The sequence below is a fragment of the Homo sapiens genome, chromosome 7, assembly GCF_000001405.40.
Source record: "Homo sapiens chromosome 7, GRCh38.p14 Primary Assembly".
Lineage (NCBI taxonomy): Eukaryota > Metazoa > Chordata > Mammalia > Primates > Hominidae > Homo > Homo sapiens.
Genome location: NC_000007.14, coordinates 152,232,630 through 152,250,739, shown reverse-complemented (window position 1 = coordinate 152,250,739; position 18,110 = coordinate 152,232,630). Strand labels below are relative to the sequence as shown.

The window sequence follows — 18,110 nt, the reverse complement described above, 5'->3', positions numbered from 1 at the left end:
GTTTTTTAGTAAAATAATCTTAGACAAATTAATAGGAGAAAGGACATGCGTGTATTTGTAGTTCAGCTACCATCTAGACTTAATCATAAGTACTTACTTGGTTAAGGGACCAAGTGATTTTCTATTAAAAAGCAATTCGTATTTTTATTTCTTTAGTTGTAGTTGCTAAGTAGAGCTGTTGCTGATGATGAGATGTTTCATGCTGAGATAATGAAAAATTTACTGTATTGGATCATCTCAGCAGTCCTATTGAGGGTTATTTCACTTATTTCCATGATGTTTCAATTAAGCTTTTTGTAGTAAATATTGATAAGAGCTATTATTGTACTTGCAGATCTGGAATTAATAAGAGACCATGTTGGGGGAAAACTACTTGTTACATTTAATCACAGGCTCATCTGAAAGTCTTTGGTGTTGTATGTGAAGTTGTATGTTCAATTATATAGTATACATAAAAATTATAATGTATACATAAAAAGCCACTGAGATGTTTTGAAATTTATTAAGTTTACGTATAATAACTCTCATTAAAATTATTTTCTATAATCTTTCTTGTGAGGTCTAGTTGTTAAAGAAAAAGAGAAAAAGACAATTAAAAAATTTTTACCATAGTGCAAAGACTTCTAATTTTGTCTTCATAACTTACTAATAAGTGGTACAATGTTTCATGCTTATATTGGAAATTGACATTTAGTAGAATAAAACTCTTTACTCAAATTACTGTTGAGGGAACAGTGTTACAGAAATTTTGACTCCTTAGAGATTTTATAAATGTGTTACTCACAGCGGTTCAAGTCCACACTGAAGAGCAACAGAAGAGTCATCCCTCAGAAAGTCTTGACACAGATAGTCTTCTTATTGCTGGTAAGCAGTATGTTCATATTGTCTAATTTGATTGAGTTACAAGATAATGTCTTTATCCCAAAGACATTTTTGCGATTGCTGTATGTATATACATTACGGTAACTAAATCTTTTAGTTAAGAGATTCTGGAAAAGAATTGACAATGGATCTAAAGAAGGTTAGTTTCTCTTGAAAGGTTTTTTTTTTTTTTTTTTTTTTTTTTGGAGGGGGGAGGTCATGATTAAAAATATTTTGTACTTTCAGATCTGTTACTTGGTAGTTTTCTTTTATCCCTACCTGTAGTCTTTCAATAAAGTGGGAAAGAAGATGAGATTTCAGTTTGATATCAGAACATGTATAGGCCTGGGCGATATAGTGAGACCCTGTCTCTACAAAAATAAAAAAAGTATCTGGGGATGGTGACACATGTGTGCAGTCCCAGCAGCTTGGGAGGCTGAGGTGGGAGGACCACTTGAGCCCAGGAGGTTGAGGCTGCAGTGAGCCATGTTTGTGCTACTCTACTCCAGCTTGGGTCACAGAGTGAGACCCTGTTTCAAAAAAAAAAAAAAAAAAAAACCAGATAAATTTTAGTCACTGATTGGTAAATGAGGCTAGCAGTGTCTTTTTACTATAACTTAAAAATTACCTTGATGAGATTGAGTTAAAGGTTTAACATACTGGTATCCTGATTTAAAATTTACCAGTGACTATGTTTCTGATATCTAAGTTTATAGATTTCCTGAGATTAGTCTTTTAATTTATAGACAGTGATGAAGAACAAGGATTATATCCAAAGAATATTTTGGGTAGGTTGGCAGGTATGGTTAAGCAAAATAAATATTGGTGGTTAGTAAATCTTTTCTGTCTGTGCTTTTGAGTCTATAGTAACTTTGTTACATCTGGGTATCTACTATTAGAAAATGCCTACACATTCTAGATCACTCTTTACTTTTTAACTTAGGTACCTCACATAACATGATTGATCCTCATTTTCTTAACTAAAAAATGAGTATGAGAACTTTTCCTGTGTAATTTTCAATCCATTTGGAAATCCTTAAGTTGTAAAACATAATGTTTTCATTAGGTTTTCTGGTGTGTGGCTGATTCTAATCCATAAATCCTTGTGTACTTTGGCTTTCATTCACTTAATAATTGTCTGCTTTGATGAATACCTTCTGATTTAAGTTCTAGTGTAGCCAAATGTTTTATATATCTATAGTTAGAAAATTTAAAATTTGTTTGTACATTGCCATAACAAATGTTCTGAATTTTGTAGTATCATCCCAACATACAGTGAATACTGAATTGGAAAAACAGATTTCTAATGAAGTTGATAGTGAAGACCTGAAAATGTCTTCTGAAGTGAAGCATATTTGTGGCGAAGATCAAATTGAAGATAAAATGGAAGTGACAGAAAACATTGAAGTCGTTACACACCAGATCACTGTGCAGCAAGAACAACTGCAGTTGTTAGAGGAACCTGAAACAGTGGTATCCAGAGAAGAATCAAGGCCTCCAAAATTAGTCATGGAATCTGTCACTCTTCCACTAGAAACCTTAGTGTCCCCACATGAGGAAAGTATTTCATTATGTCCTGAGGAACAGTTGGTTATAGAAAGGCTACAAGGAGAAAAGGAACAGAAAGAAAATTCTGAACTTTCTACTGGATTGATGGACTCTGAAATGACTCCTACAATTGAGGGTTGTGTGAAAGATGTTTCATACCAAGGAGGCAAATCTATAAAGTTATCATCTGAGACAGAGTCATCATTTTCATCATCAGCAGACATAAGCAAGGCAGATGTGTCTTCCTCCCCAACACCTTCTTCAGACTTGCCTTCGCATGACATGCTGCATAATTACCCTTCAGCTCTTAGTTCCTCTGCTGGAAACATCATGCCAACAACTTACATCTCAGTCACTCCAAAAATTGGCATGGGTAAACCAGCTATTACTAAGAGAAAATTTTCTCCTGGTAGACCTCGGTCCAAACAGGTAGGGTGATTTTAATGATATTGACAGAAAAGATATTGGAACAATTCTATAAAATCAGAAGGTATATGTGTAGCTTTGGTGTGGATGGCAACTTTTTCTGTCTTCAGATAGAACTTCAGTGTAATGTTGATTATGTGTTTCAGCCATTATTTTTTAAATGCTGTTAATGAAGAATGCCATTTATTAAATTTGAAGTGATCTTATTTGGAATTTCAACTCAGTTGGGCCATAAAGATGCAACCTATTGATAATAGTTTCTAATAGAAAGAACTTTAAAAATTCTTTTAGTTCTGTGCTGCAGTAAATATAGAGCCTAAAATACAGTATAGTTTTGGGTATACAGTAACTAACATCTATTATTTCCTTCTAATATATTTATTTATTGATATTATTCATTGTATATATTTTTAACTGGATAAACATCAACATTTATGACAGGAATTTTCCATGCTGGGGAATTTCTCATTTTGATGTTTTTATTAATTGCTAACTCTTGTGGGATTTCTTTTTTCAAGTAGGACTTATTTCAGTAGTTTCATGGAAAAAAATCTTAGAATTGTACTGTTGATTTTCAGTAAGTAAAGATAAATCTTCCTTTGTCTGCTTTACATCATGTACATTCTACCCTTTAAGAATGAGTTCCATTTCTTTTTAAGTGAGATTTAAGTAAAACTGCATGGCAAAATGAAGATACTGTAGGTACGAATTATTTATTGTTTTACAAAATTGCTGCTTTCTGAAGTGTTTTTTAAAATTGCAAGATAACAAATAGTGGAGAAGTGTTAATTCACAATAGTAATTTGGAGTTTTAAGTTTCATGATTGAAATTGCTTCAAGTTAAGTTTTAAGTTTCATGATTTAAATGGATTAAAGTTTGGCTTTTTATAGGAATAATATATTGATTTTAATCGTATAATTTTTAAACTGTAAGGCCAAGCTTTTAAGAAAATCATTTTTTAATGTGAAAATTAGTCTCCTCTATATCAAACCCAGATATATTTTATTCTCTAAAGACAAGGTACACGAAAGGGAAAGTAGTTGTCAGATGGGATTTAGCTGTTTCTGCATGGCAAAAGACGTGTGCAGTAAAACTAGGCCACTCTTTATATATGCCTTTTTCTAAGTATTTTCCTTGACAGTTATTTCTGCTCTACCATGAAAAGTTTTTCTTCTCAAACCAGTTGTGCTCCTTTCTAGTAAGTTTTTTTTTGTTTTGTTTTGAATAGTTATATAATAATTATGTTGTTCTGACTCTGAAAAGACTTTACCAATGGAAATTTGAATCTCAAATTTACTTTTGGTTGATATATTTACATTCTTTAAAGATACTGCTTCATATGTATTCCTGTTAAATTTTACTTATCTCTCCTTCCTTGTAGACTTTTGTTTCAATTGAGAAACCAGGTTCAATACATTAGGACTCTTTTTCTGTAGACTTTATGTTCCGAAATATTGGGGAGGGGGGTGTATTTCCAGGCTTATTCCATCTTATATGAGCCATGTCCTAGTATTTTGCTGAGCTGTCTTTGATTCCCAAATCCGATGATAATCTTTCTATTTTTCTGCCCCTCTTGTTACTACTTCATCATTTGCTGCTACTCTTGTAAGTATTTTGTAGGCTGTGTTTTCCCTCCCTCCAGCTTTTTAGTTTTCCAATCTTGGTTTTAGTTATCTAGCAAACAGCCTTCACTTGATGATGAACCTGCTAATATAGTGCTGTTATTAGGGAGAGTATGAATTGAATAGTACAAGATAGATCTTCCATTGGTGAGGCACTGGGACCATAACTTGCAGGAAATATTCTACAGTTAGCAGGAATGTGTATATCCGTATATTAGAAATACTGAAGTTCAGTATTCTGTTACATGAATTTCTTTGGTATTAGGCATTTCTGTATTATACTTCTGTTTTTATTTACTGTTTCTTCTACATATTCTTCACGTTGGGGATTGGCTGTAAAATAAGCTGCATTTTCCTGGCTGTGATTGTGATGTAAGCAAGATTCTTTGGTTTCCAGCTATTTTTTGTTAACATCACTGGCATTTTCATATTTTGTTGAACATTACCAATTCTTTGGTCTTTACCAGTAAAGTAAATACTAACCAAAGAAATGTAGATTTACCTTAAGTTCTGTTTCATGGTGGGCAAATTATTAAGTTGATTTTAATGATTTTCTATAATAGTATTATATGAGCTTTTCTAGGAATTCACTTCAAAATTAAACGAACATTTTAATAGGAAACATCTGAAAGATCTAGTTTGTGATAGCTAGTGATTGGATTATCAGATGTTATCTGGAGGTACAAGCTAGCCAACTAGTAGAACGGTAAGCCAGTGCTGTCTAATATAAATATAATGCAGACCATATGTGTAATTTTAAATTTTCAAGTAGTTACACTTTAAAAAAACAAAAACAGGTGAAATAAATTTTAATCTATTTTATTTAACCTGGTATATTCAAAACAATATTTCAGCATTTAGTATAAAAATGAACAAGATGCTTTATACTTAAAACATCAGTTCTGGCTAGCTGCATTAGAAGTGCTCAGTGGTCACATATGATGGTGGCTGCCTTATTGGACGATGCAAGACAAAACATTTTGAGAAATATAAAAACAGCAGTTCCGGAATTATTGGTGAAATTAAAATACCAAAAGAATTCAAGATCGACAAACTAAGACTGTGGCTGTGCTTTCACAATTTTTAAGGACTGAAGTAGAAATATTCTTTTTCTGTTGTTCATGGAACACATTTTAATGCAGATAATTGCTAAACCATTTGTTGCTGCAACAAATCTTTCACATTTTCAAGTATATTCAGTTTTAAATATATAATCCAAATAACCCAATATTGGAGATTTTCTGAAGGTGAGATGTTAGGACACAGAAAATGGAATTTATATCTCAGGTATTGGACATCCATTATCAAATATCAAATCATATAGAATTATTTTCCTTTAAGGAGGTTAGTAATTAAAGTTTAGTTTTTTGTATTTTTCCTTTCATATGGAATATTTCAGGTGCTATTTAGTGAGAAATATGATGCTTATTTTCTTTATGACATGTTTCAAATATATCTCAAATGTATGATTTAGAACCTAACTGACTACAGGAATAGTAACACATTTTTCTGATGGCTGTGAATAGAATAAGATTCCTTTTGTTTTTTGTTTTCTTGCCTATTGTAGACGCAGGATTTCACAAAGATGAGGAAAAATTAGACATGATAAGGTAGGAGAAGTAACAGACAGCAAATTGGATATTGTTTCATACAAATTGTCCTAATGACCTAGTTGTATTTTCTCATCTTTTATTGAAGTTATCTATTCATAAATAATTTAGTATTTCATTTTTCAGCATTTAAAAATATTTTTTATTTTTTTATAGAGATGGGGGTCTTGCTGTGTAGACCAGGCTGGTTACGAACTCCTGGCCTCAAGCGATCCTTCCATCTCGGGTCTCCCAGAGTGCTGGGATTACAGGTGTGAGCCCCACAGCGCCTGGCCCATTTTTCAGCATTTTTATAGGTGTATGTACTTTGCGACCTGGGTTTAAGAAAGTGATTATTGACACTGCCACATATTGTAATCAACTCGGTAGATTTTAGAACATCAAGCTAATGGCCCTACCCTAGACCAATTAAAATGCACTTCTAGGATCATCTTTAACTGTAACCCTGAAAGCGGAGTTCTGAACTAGAGAAATGTGCTACTTGTCTTACTGATTTTTAAAAATGCATTAAACTGAATACTGTAAGGAATGCTCTTTAAAAATGGTGGAAAATAAAGTGGAAATTTTAAATTTGTCATATTAAATCATAACATTTGTTTTTATTTCTGTCTTCAGTCCATTTCTCTCATTGCACAGTTGTATTCCCATTCTAATTAGGAAATTCTGAGATAATAATCTTAGGTCTTCTTGTATTATTTACCCTGTATGTATCATCACGTCTTATAGAAAGATATTGAATGTAATCACACTACTATGATCTAGTTCAGACACCTTCATGTTCTAATTGCTTTCATGATGGTATTGAAAGTTTTTATTAAGCATTTTATGAAACGTATTATTTGCAGTAGACATTTCTTTATTTTATTTTTACTTATTTATCTGTTTATTTTGAGATTGAGTCTTGCTCTGTTGCCCAGGCTGGAGTTGTGGCACGACCTCACTCACTGCAGCCTCTGCCTCCCTGGCTCAAGCAGTTCTCCTGTCTCAGCCTCCTGAGTAGCGGGGACTACGGGCGCACGTCAACACACCTGGCTAATTTTTTAAATATTTTTAGTAGAGACGGTGTTTCGCCATATTGGTTAGGCTGGTCTCGAATTCCTGACCTCAGGTGATCCACCCGCCTTGTCCTCCCAAAGTGCTGGGATTACAGGGGTGAGCCACCACGCCCAGCCTACAGTAAATATTTCAAGAAAATTTCATAAATGAAAACATAGGTACTGTATTTTGATATCTCTTGGACAAATTATAAGAAGTTTACTTTATATTATAAGAAGAGTACTTTCAGTTTTAAAAGTAGCCAGAGAACCATAGTGTTAAACCTAAAAAATACCTACCCCTTTGGAACACCAAGCTAACAACACAGCCGATTAGAAGTACCAGACTTTCCTTTTAGTTCACTTGTGCTTGTTGTGGTATTTTTGGAGATATTACTGTTGCTAGTGCCACCTAATTTGTATTGTGAAATTATTGAAGGCTAAAGCTGATAATAGCTGTTTCTGTAGTTATCAAAACAGGATTAGGTCTAATTTCTTGTTCTACTTGATATCGAACTCAATTTTATATATGAGACTTCTTTTAAGAATTCCCTAAATAGTGAAGTGTTTGCTGCTGTAGCTCCACTGTATACAAGTGATTATATTTACCAAAAAGACAAACTGTAAACTCTTTTGTTTCTTTTACCAGTTATCTTCCTTTCGGCTCTCTCTCTTCATTGCTTTCACTTTTCCTAAATTAGACTTACTGTTTATAAGCAACCTTGGTTTTACATAGTATGTTGGAAGAGTGTGGGGCTGGGGTTGATTTAGGATTTGGAGGTGTAAAGTTTGCCAGTGAGACACCAAACCTTCTCTGGCTGCTTTTAAAACTGATAGTACTCTTGGGCTGTAAGAGTGACTTTGATCATATTTAACAACCAGCAATAGAATTTGACTTTTAATAGAAAGTTGCTTCTAAATAGCCTATCCTCCACGTGTCATTATTGTTCTCATTTCCCCATCCCACAGTCCTTGTATAACTTACTAGCTTGGACAGTTTACCTGAGAAATTGGCCTCAAAACAGAAAGAAACTTAATGCTAATATTAAACTGTTTTTGGGTTAAATTATTTTTCTTGGGTTCAAATTCAGTCCCTGCCAGGTAGTGTTTTTTTAGTTTCTGTAGTATTTGATAGCAAGTTGATTCTATTTACAACTTAATAATGATTACATTAGGAACTATTTTGCTTTTAATTCAGTTTGTAGATTAAGGAGGCATTATATAGATTTTTTAGTAATTTTTAGTAACTTTTTTTAAGTGAAGAAATTCAAGATTCTAGGTTATTACTGGTGGAGGCATTAGTGTGTTTCATATCATAGTTCATTGTTTATTGATGAATTCATACACATATGCAAAAAAAGATAATAGATGCTCAGCAGAAAAAAAGTTCAATAAGTGCTGAACAGGGTGCTTAACATAGCAGTGAACAGAAAGGGGCATGATCTTTAATTACAGTGTAAAAAGTGCTGCAACTGGATTGTAGGGGAAGAGCCCATACATTACAGGGGCAGCTAACCTTTTCTGAGTGGTTTGTGTAAGTTCTTGATCAAAGCTAAGATCTGAAGGATAATTTAAACTTTGGTAATTATAGCTATATTTTAGTTTTAAGGTCTAAGGAATATACTAGATAATTTGTCAGAATATCTAAGTATAATGATAATTTTTCTTCAGAACTATAAAATTACACAAAGTCTGTCTTCTTTTTGAAGTGAGATAAAATTTTGGCATCAAAGCTAACTTTTAAATTATGATGAATAATACATAATTACCAGAAAATTCTTACTTCTGAAATAAAATTATTCAACATTATTTTTATCTTAGAGTACGACTTTCTGTCTCATATTTTTGAGAACTGTCTACTGCCAACATAATATTAAACTATCGACTAAAAGGAATTTAAGATGTATGTTAGCCAAATCTCAGAGAAAAACCAATGGAAATATTGAGAGAAGTAATTTAGGTATCTTTTGCCCCCACTGCCTACCACTAAATAAAATTACAAACAATAAAACGTCCTAGGTGGTGATGCAATGAGAGGCACTAATGGTGTGGTAAGAGAGATGATGGTTCACCGGGAGCACTAAGGAAAGGTCTGCTGTTGAGAAAATATGTAAGGCCATACCTGAAGGGTTAGAAAACGCCAGACATGGCTGGCCGTGGTGGCTCACGTCTGTAATCCCAGCACTTTGGGATGCCAAGGCTGGTGGATCACAAGGTCAGGTGTTTGAGACCAGCCTGACCAACATGGTATCGCTCCTAAAATACAAAAATTAGCTGGGCCTGGTGGCGCATGCCTGTAATCCCAGCTACTCAGGAGACTTGAGGCAGGAGAATCGCTTGAACCTGGGAGGTAGAGGTTGCTGTGAGCCGAGATCGCACCACCGCACTCTAGCCTGGGTGACAGAGCGAGACTCCATCTCAAAAAGAAAGAAAGAAAGAAAATGCCAGACATTTATTGAGGGGCTGGAATGATATAGTGAAGTGTTCTGAGTCAGTCGGGCTCTGATTGATAAAGAGCTTGGCATGTTTGAAGGACAGCAAGGAAGCCAGAATAGCTGGAGCGTAGCAGCGGGGAGACAAATGCCACAAGGTTAGTTGGAGAAAGGCATTGGGAAAGGTTTGTCTTTTAAGTGCTCTGAGAAGCAATTGAAGGTTTGAAATAGAATAGTGACTTGCTTGATCACATTTGTACTTTTGAAAAGTTTCTCTGGCTGCTGTGGGGAAAGGCTTCAGTAGATGCAGGGTCGGAGAAGCATAACCAGCAGTAGACTCTTGTAGCAGGTTAGGTGAGAGATGGTGGTGGCCACGACTGAGCTGCTAGTGGTGGAAGTGACAAGAAGTAGAAGGATTGGAGACAAAACTTGAAGATAAAAAGTCTTGAATTTGCTGATGATTTGCATTGATGAAGTGTTGGGGGAGAGGACTGAAGGAGCAAAGGAGAGTGACAAGGGACTGGATGCCATTTATAAGGATGGGGAAGACTGGGATGAAACCGGTTAAGGGAGAAATTTTAAACATGGCAAACTTAAGAGGGGTTTTGTGTGAGAAAATGGAAATGCTAAGAAGGAAGTTGAAAATCCTGCTAATTTGGAGATCTTTGATTAAAACTAGAAATAAGAATATGGGAAGCATCAACTTCCAAGATGCCCTCATTGTAGATAATACCATTTAGGATCTAGGCTCAAGCCCTGGGAAACTCCAGGGCTTTGGAAGTCAAATAGAGGAAGAACACGTACAGGAGATGAAGAAAGATTAGCGAGGAAGGCAGTGAAATATCCACAGGTGGACTGCTGCCAAATCCAGCAGAACAGTATGCCAGATGTCAGGAGCATGAGTAAAATGAGAAAAGAGAAATGGCTTTTGACAACACTTCCTTACTAATAGTAGGGAAGAAGACATAGGTACAGATTCAAGTTGATTGGAAATTATGAAAGTGAGGTAATTGACCTGCAGTGGTTGCTGCTCAGTGAAATCAGCATAGTGATTACCTGAGCTAGGTTAGAGATTTGATGGGTAAGAAAGAACACCTAACGGTAATCCTGGAGGGAAAAAAATAAAGTGTTTGCTGGAGAGAATGAGTTGGATTGCTGGACTTCAATGTGTGTGGATTCAGTTTGTGACTTAAAAATGAAACCAGTCTATTGCTTGTGTGGCTTTTCTCAAAATACTGTTATTCCATTACCTATCTCTTACCCCAAGAGTAGTCACATTCTTATTTCTGGTTATTTTAATTCCTGGTGGTATTTTTATGTGATTAATGAGATAGTACTTTTTAATTTGATGATATTCTAGAAACCTGGTAAGTACTATGTACCTTGTCTTAAGTTTTGGTTACTTAATTGGTAAAATTATAGCATGCACCATTGAATTACCTAATTCAAAATATATTCTTTTATTGTTTGACATTTGTCTTGTTTTTCTTTAAAATGTTATCTTTGTGGAGTAAACATTTTTCTTTATGCTGTTTAGCATCTTCATCAGATTAGTTCAGGGTATTGCTGAATGTGGTTGTTTGGAAGTAAAATGCTTTAGTTTTAGTTATATAGATTTTAATAAGATACTACTTTCTATATAATTTATCAGGTACTTTAGGCATTTTAATTTGCAAATTTAGGACAATTTGCTTTAACGTTTCTTCACTTTTGTCCATTGGATGTAATTTCCATAAAGTATTCATTTCCCTAAGTAAAAACCAAAACCAAACCGACAACTAATGGTCACTGAAGAAAGAGTGATTAAATGCTTAGATTATAATGGTATTTGCATTTTAATGTTACCAGCTCTCTACAGTTTAACGTGTATGCATTTATCGATTGCTTATGTTTCTCCTTGCATTCTTTGGCCTACTGGTTTTGGTTGTTTATAGCTATAGAATATAGAATTCCTTATGGTTATCCATTTCTCCTTTTAAGTAGAGTGATAGTTGTTAGAAGAAAAATAACCCCCCAATACTTTCTTCTAGTGTTAATTCTTAAAGTGTGATTGACTTTTATTTACTTTTTGGTGCAGTAATTGCAGTTCATGAGTCAATGTTGATGTCCTATAAACCTTAATTTTTAATGTTTCATTGTAGTGATGTCTCAGGCAGAATAAAATATTTAATGTAAATTGTAGCAGCAAACATTTAAGTTATACTTAAATGTTTAAATCACTGTTAGTGATTAACTTATTTTGCCTTCCTTGAAGCAATTTGTCCTAAATTTCCATACGTTTGCATTTGTTTTTGCTGTTCTAAAATTCCTTAGTTGCTGGCTTTGACCTTTTATGTTGCTGAGTTTTACACATCTATTTTCTCAACTGCCATATCCTAGGGGGCTTGGAGTACCCATAATACAGTGAGCCCACCTTCCTGGTCCCCAGACATTTCAGAAGGTCGGGAAATTTTTAAACCCAGGCAGCTTCCTGGCAGTGCCATTTGGAGCATCAAAGTGGTAAATAAAATTGCATTTACATTCATATATCATTTCTGTCTGATTTGTTTTGCCCTACTGGATGTTAAGAATTAAATCTTTCTTTTCTAGATTGAGCTTCCAAGAAACACTTTTTAAATCTAAAAATTTTAATGTAAAGAAATAATATGCTTGCATTTAAAAATCAAGTATACATTTTTAATACCTCTTTTTATGGTTAATTCCTTTTGTTGTGATTACTACTGTTTTTATGAGGGAGAAGTCCTTGACATGTAGACCAAAAGGTAATTAAGGACCTTTTCATTCATGATATCATAAAACCTTGTTGCTTAGAAAAAAGCAAAAGAAAAAGCTCCATTAATTTATTATGTTCTCATGGAGAAGAAATACCAAAATTGTGGCATATTTCATTGTCTGGTTAATACCTTAAAATGACAAGGCTTTTTCCCCCATGACATTGGTTGATGGCTCTGCCAGTCCTTGAAGTGAGTTAAGTAGTGTGATGCATTTTGAAGAGAAAAAAATTAATTTGAAAAAGTATTAACTCAAAAGTTAAAATACTTCATTGACTGGAGATGACAGTTTTTCTTCATATTCTATATTTAATATTCTGGAATATGGCTGTTTAATTTAGACTAATCAAGGATTTTAAGGAATTCTAGATTATACTTTATTTTCTTTCATGACTGGAAGAACTATTGTTTTTTAACCTCCCTACCTCCCCCTGATATCATCCAAGATATTGAGGTATAAATATACCTCATTTGACAGTTTGATAATATAGACCACCAATTTTCACTTACTTTTTTTCTGGGTCAGCATTTCATGTTCGAGAAAATAAATTGAGAGATTACTGTAGTCTCGATTTTTAATCACTAACTTAATTTTTCAAAAATCTTTTATACCAATTTAAAAACAAAACAAACTCGGCCGGGCGCAGTGGCTCATGCCTGTAATCCCAGCACTTTGGGAGGCTGAGGGGGCAGATCACTTGAGGTCAGGAGTTCGAGGCCAACCTGGCCAACATGGTGAAACCCTGTCTCTACTAAAAATACAAAGAAATTTAGCCGGGTGTGGTGGCATGTGCCTGTAATCCCAGCTGCTAGGGAGGCTGAGGCAGGAGAATTGCTGGAACCCAGGAGACGGAGGTTGCAGTGAGCCAAGATCGCACCATTGCACTCCAGCCTGGGCAAAGAAGCGAGACTCCATCTCAAAAATAAACAAACAAAAAAAACCCCCAAAAAACTAACCTGACGCCATCCATCTGTTGTGCAAAGAAGCTGATGCACTTCTCAAAAGGGATCTCAAGGAGAGCAGGGTAAGAGAAGACAGGAGTGGCAGTTTGAAACTGGGAGCTGGCTGTATTTGTTACATCCAAAGGGAAAAAAGCCATTCCTCCCGTTCCTTTTGTTCATGTGTATCTATTTTATGCTTACAGTATCACCATAAATTTTTGACTTGGAAACCATTCTGCTAAATAGGGAATAAGTTCATTTCAAACTATGATAAGGGACATCAGTTGAAGATATGACATATTATTTAACTTAACTGTGAGGGAAACATCTAAGTATTTTCCTGAGCATCTGGATAATTTTAAATATACATAATTCATCTACTTAGGGAGGTGCCAGGTTTTTTCAAGGAGTAATTAATTAGTACAAACAAGGGTGAGGGGGCAGGGAACACCATACTCTGGTACTTAATGTCTGAAATTATCAGGGAATTTAACACATTTTCCCATAGGTTTATTTCTTGTGTAAGAAGTCAGATAAATTATTTCCATTTCAAGTATTTATTATTCAGATTATTTAAAGCAAAGCTTTCACAAAGCCTTTTGTCAGCTTTCCTATAATCCTCAAATAATTTTTCCTGGCTGGACGCTTTGGCTTACTCCTGTAATCCTGGCACTTTGGGAGGCAGAAGCAGGAGGATCACTTGAGCCCAAGAGTTCTAGGCTGCAGTGAGCTATGATCACACCACTGCACTCCAACCTGAGTGACGGAGCAAGTTCTTGTCTCAAAAATAAAAGTAATAACAATAATGATAAATTTTCCTCTAAATACAATGGTGAATGAGGTAGAAATGTTGAGTTCATAAGAGAACTGTTGAATAGTGAAGGAAACTGACTTAATTTTAATGAGAGGAAGAATACTGTTACACAACACTAGCAAAAATGAACTTTCACGCTGATGTAGCAGTACAGAATATGCTTCCAACCCCGGGACGCTGCAGCCAGACTTGCTAGCTAAGTGACCTTGGACAAGTTACTTAACCTTTTTATTCCTCAGCACACTCATCTCAAATGGGGATAATAAAACCTACTATATGGGATTGTTGAGAGTAAAAAATACTTAGATTAGTACATAGTAAGTACTCAATAGATGTTAGCTATTATTGTAATCACCGCGAGACCAGTTAATGAGAGAGTTCTTCCTTATACTTACTCTATATTGAATACAATTTGTTGCACTTCGAAATATCTGGATCAGGCTATAGTTGTTGTCGTCACCAAGAATGTAGGAGTGGGAAAGAGAAAAATCATGCAAAGGCTTGCTGATAGCATTCACAGTGACAGGCCTAAGGTATGATTCTAAGGTTGTAAGCATTTTATATTTAGATTTTTAAGTTGTGGAGTATACGTTTAAAGATAAAAATAATAAGCCAGGTCTCTTAATACTTATCTAAGGAAGTGTTTGTGTAACATTTAATAAAATGTTTTATCTCAGTGGCATTTGGATTTAAAAATTATTTTGGTCTGTCACAGAATGTTGACTTTTCCCAATCTGTTACATAGGGCCGTGGGTCTGGATTTCCAGGAAAGCGGAGACCTCGAGGTGCAGGACTGTCGGGGCGAGGTGGCCGAGGCAGGTCAAAGCTGAAAAGTGGAATCGGAGCTGTTGTATTACCTGGGGTGAGGCTTGCTTCATGTATATTTTCTCTAATCTAAATGTCAGTTAATGATGAAAATCTCATAGCAAGTTATTTTGATCTTAAGAGTCATATAAATAGGTCAAAATGTTTATTTTACTGTCCTACTTTGCTTTTTTTTTTGAGCCTCTGGTTATGTTTTCTTGTATATTTACTTTCTCATCCTTTCTCTTTTCTTACCTTCCTCTTTGACTCCTTATCTTTCTATGCCAACCCTCTCTAAAAAGTCAGTATGTAATATAGTTGCTCTTTTATTTAAAAAATTTTAAGATTGATAGATATTTGCTTACTATCATGTTATGAGGCTTTATTTATATGTGTATTGCAAATATATTTGCTAACTAGCAAATATTTTATGTAATAACTTCGCTATTTTATTAAAATTCTGTTTTTAAAATTCTGAAATGTCATTTTAAGTATAGGAGACAGGTGAAATTGTTCAAGTTTACTACTAAACCAGGAATAAGGAAGCTTAGATTCTTGTCCTTTTTTCAAAAAGAAAAATTTTAAAACCAGGCTTATTGAGGTACAGTTGATATAAGCTATATTTGACATGTACAATTCCATAAGCTTTGATATATATATATATATACACCCTTGAAAACGATACCACAATCATGATAGTGAATATATTCATCTCCCAAAGCTTCTTCATGCCCCTCTGTAATTTTCTGCATTCCCCCTGCCATCCGTCCTTGTCCCCAAGATTAGTTTGCATTTTCTAGAGTTGTATATAAGTGGAATCATACAGAACTGTACACTTTTTGGACTGATTTATTTCAGCACAATTATTTGGAGATTCATCTGTGCTGTTGCATTTGTTAACAGTGTACTCCCTTTTCTTGCTGAGTATTAATAAAACTGTGGATGCACCATGGTTGTAGACCTGTGCACTTTTTTTTCTTCTTTTTTTTTCTGAGACAGGTTATCATTCTAATTCCTGGCTGGAGTGCAGTGGTGCGATCATAGCTAACTCTAGCTTCGACCTCCCACCTCCGTCTCCCAAGTAGCTGGGCCCATAGGTGTGTGCCACCACACCCAACTCCTTTTTTAAAATTTTTGATAGAGACAGCATCTCACTATGTTGTCCAGGCTGGTCTCAAACTTCTGAGCTCAAGCAGTTTTCCCACCTTGGCTTCCCAAAGTGCTGGGATTACAGGCGTGAGTCACCATGCCCCAGCCTGTAGTCTTACATTCTTGTAATGTCTTCGTCTGGTTTTGGTATCAGCATAACTACAGCTTCATAGAATGAATCAGGAAGTATATTCTCCTCTTCAGTTTTCTGGAAAAGTTGTGTAGTAGTGGAAATGTATCTTCTTATATTATACGTTAATTTATTAGTGAAACCATCTTGGCCTGAAATTTTCTTTGTGGGGGGTTTTTGTTGTGTTTTCCTTTTTTTTTTCTTCTTTCTTTTGAGATAGAGTTTCGCTCTTGTTGCCTAGGCTGGAGTGCAATGGCACAATCTCAGCTCATGCAACCACTGCCTCCCAGGTTCAAGTGATTTCCCCTGCCTCAGCCCCCTGGGTAGCTGGGATTACAGGTGCCTGCCACCACGCCTGGCTAATTTTTTTTTGTATTTTTAGTAGAGACAGTTTTTCACCATGTTGGCCAGGCTGGTCTCGAACTCCTGATCCACCTGCCTCGGCCTCCCAAAGTGTTGGAATTACAGGCGTGAGCCACCATGCCCAGGCTGGAGTGCAGTGGCGTGATCTCTGCTCACTACAGCCTCCACCTCCCAGGTTCAAGCAATTCTCCTGCCTCAGCCTTCTGAGTAGCTGGGATTACTGGCGCGCACCAACATGCCTGGCTAATTTTTGTGTTTTGGGTACAGATGGGGTTTTGCCATGTTGGCCAGGCTGGTCTCGAACTCCTGGCCTCAGATGATCCGTCTCCCAAAGTGCTGGGATTACGGGATGAGCCACCAGTGCCCAGCCTGTGGGACAGTTTTTAACAACAAATTTTATTTCTTTAATAGGTACCTATTTAGGTTATCTGTCTCTCCTTGCATAAATTTGCATCTTTCAAGAAATTTGTTCATTTTGTCTATCTTGACAAATTAAAGGAATGGAGTTGATCATAATGTTTCTTATTATTTTAATACCTGTAGAATCTGTAATGATTTCACCTTCCTCATTCTTGATACTAATAATTTGCATCTTGTCTTATTTTTTTCCTGATCAGTCTGGCTAGAGATTTATCAATCTTATTGACCTTCTTGAGTCAGCCTTTGTTTTCATGGACTTTTGTCTATTTTCTTTCCCCTTTCTGTTTTATTGATTTTTATTATCATCTTTATTTTTTCCTATCTTCTCACTTTGAGTTTAATTTGATCTTCTTTTTTTGTTTACTCTTACGTGTCCCTGCTTGGAAGGGACACTTGTGAAGTTTAGGTCAGAACTTTCTATTCTCCTTGGCTCATATCTGTGGTCTAGGAAAATGAAATTTCTATCACCTTCTGGATAAATCACACTATTATCTATGCAGGCAACAATAGCACGTATTTTCTCAAAGATTACCTTTGCCCTCAAGGTAGGTTTTATTTTTCTAGCAGTCTAACGGTCATGAAATAAATTATAAAATAAAAACAGTGGGTCTTCAAGCTAGATGATACTATTTTCTTTCTTGCATGGACAATTATTTTAAAATATTTTGGTTTTTCTGCACTTATTATTTAAATATGACAGTATGACTCCCCACCCCCACTTGAATCTAGGGACATTGTAGTTTTCTACTGCAGACTTTGTTTCTGGTTTATACTGGGAATATATTGTTTATCATTTTCAGTGAAAGCGTTCACTGGTTAAATTTCCTTTTAAAAATAATAATGGATCTTTACAATTTCTTTGAGCTGCTCAGTGGGTATAATGTGTTGAATTTTCTGTTAGTGGTTGGGAGGTAGAAATAGATACTTTATCTCTATTTTAGCCATTTCCATAATTATATATCTCAATAGTCTTGTCAATGCATCATTAGTTCTATGACTGAATTAATGATTACTTTTAGTAGTCACTTAATTTCTTACTGATGATGATGATTCTACTTTTGTGAATCATCTTGGATGATTCTCTAAAATCTTAGAAAGCTGATTTTGTTAATACTATGCATGTAACACATCAATACATTTTCTCTATTAAAAAAAATTAAAGCATTATAGGTAGATCAGAATT

General features: G+C 35.1%; 1 protein-coding gene across 1 annotated transcript in view, besides 1 other annotated feature; it reads left to right on the top strand.

Annotated features, from left to right (window-relative positions):
- The window catches only part of KMT2C (lysine methyltransferase 2C), a 301,079-nt gene that overhangs the window by 185,264 nt on the left and 97,705 nt on the right, over nt 1–18,110 (top strand). The window contains exons 13-16 of the mRNA NM_170606.3: nt 787–864; nt 2,120–2,838; nt 11,914–12,033; nt 14,807–14,923. Coding sequence (NP_733751.2) covers nt 787–864; nt 2,120–2,838; nt 11,914–12,033; nt 14,807–14,923 — 1,034 coding nt within the window. The remainder of the gene's footprint in view (nt 1–786; nt 865–2,119; nt 2,839–11,913; nt 12,034–14,806; nt 14,924–18,110) is intronic.
- Nucleotides 14,270–14,470: a silencer, noted in NCBI's record as "peak6855 fragment used in MPRA reporter construct". NCBI's record gives its function as "represses an SCP1 promoter by STARR-seq MPRAs in K562 erythroleukemia cells {active_cell/tissue: K562}" and the evidence as "EXISTENCE:reporter gene assay evidence [ECO:0000049][PMID:32103011]".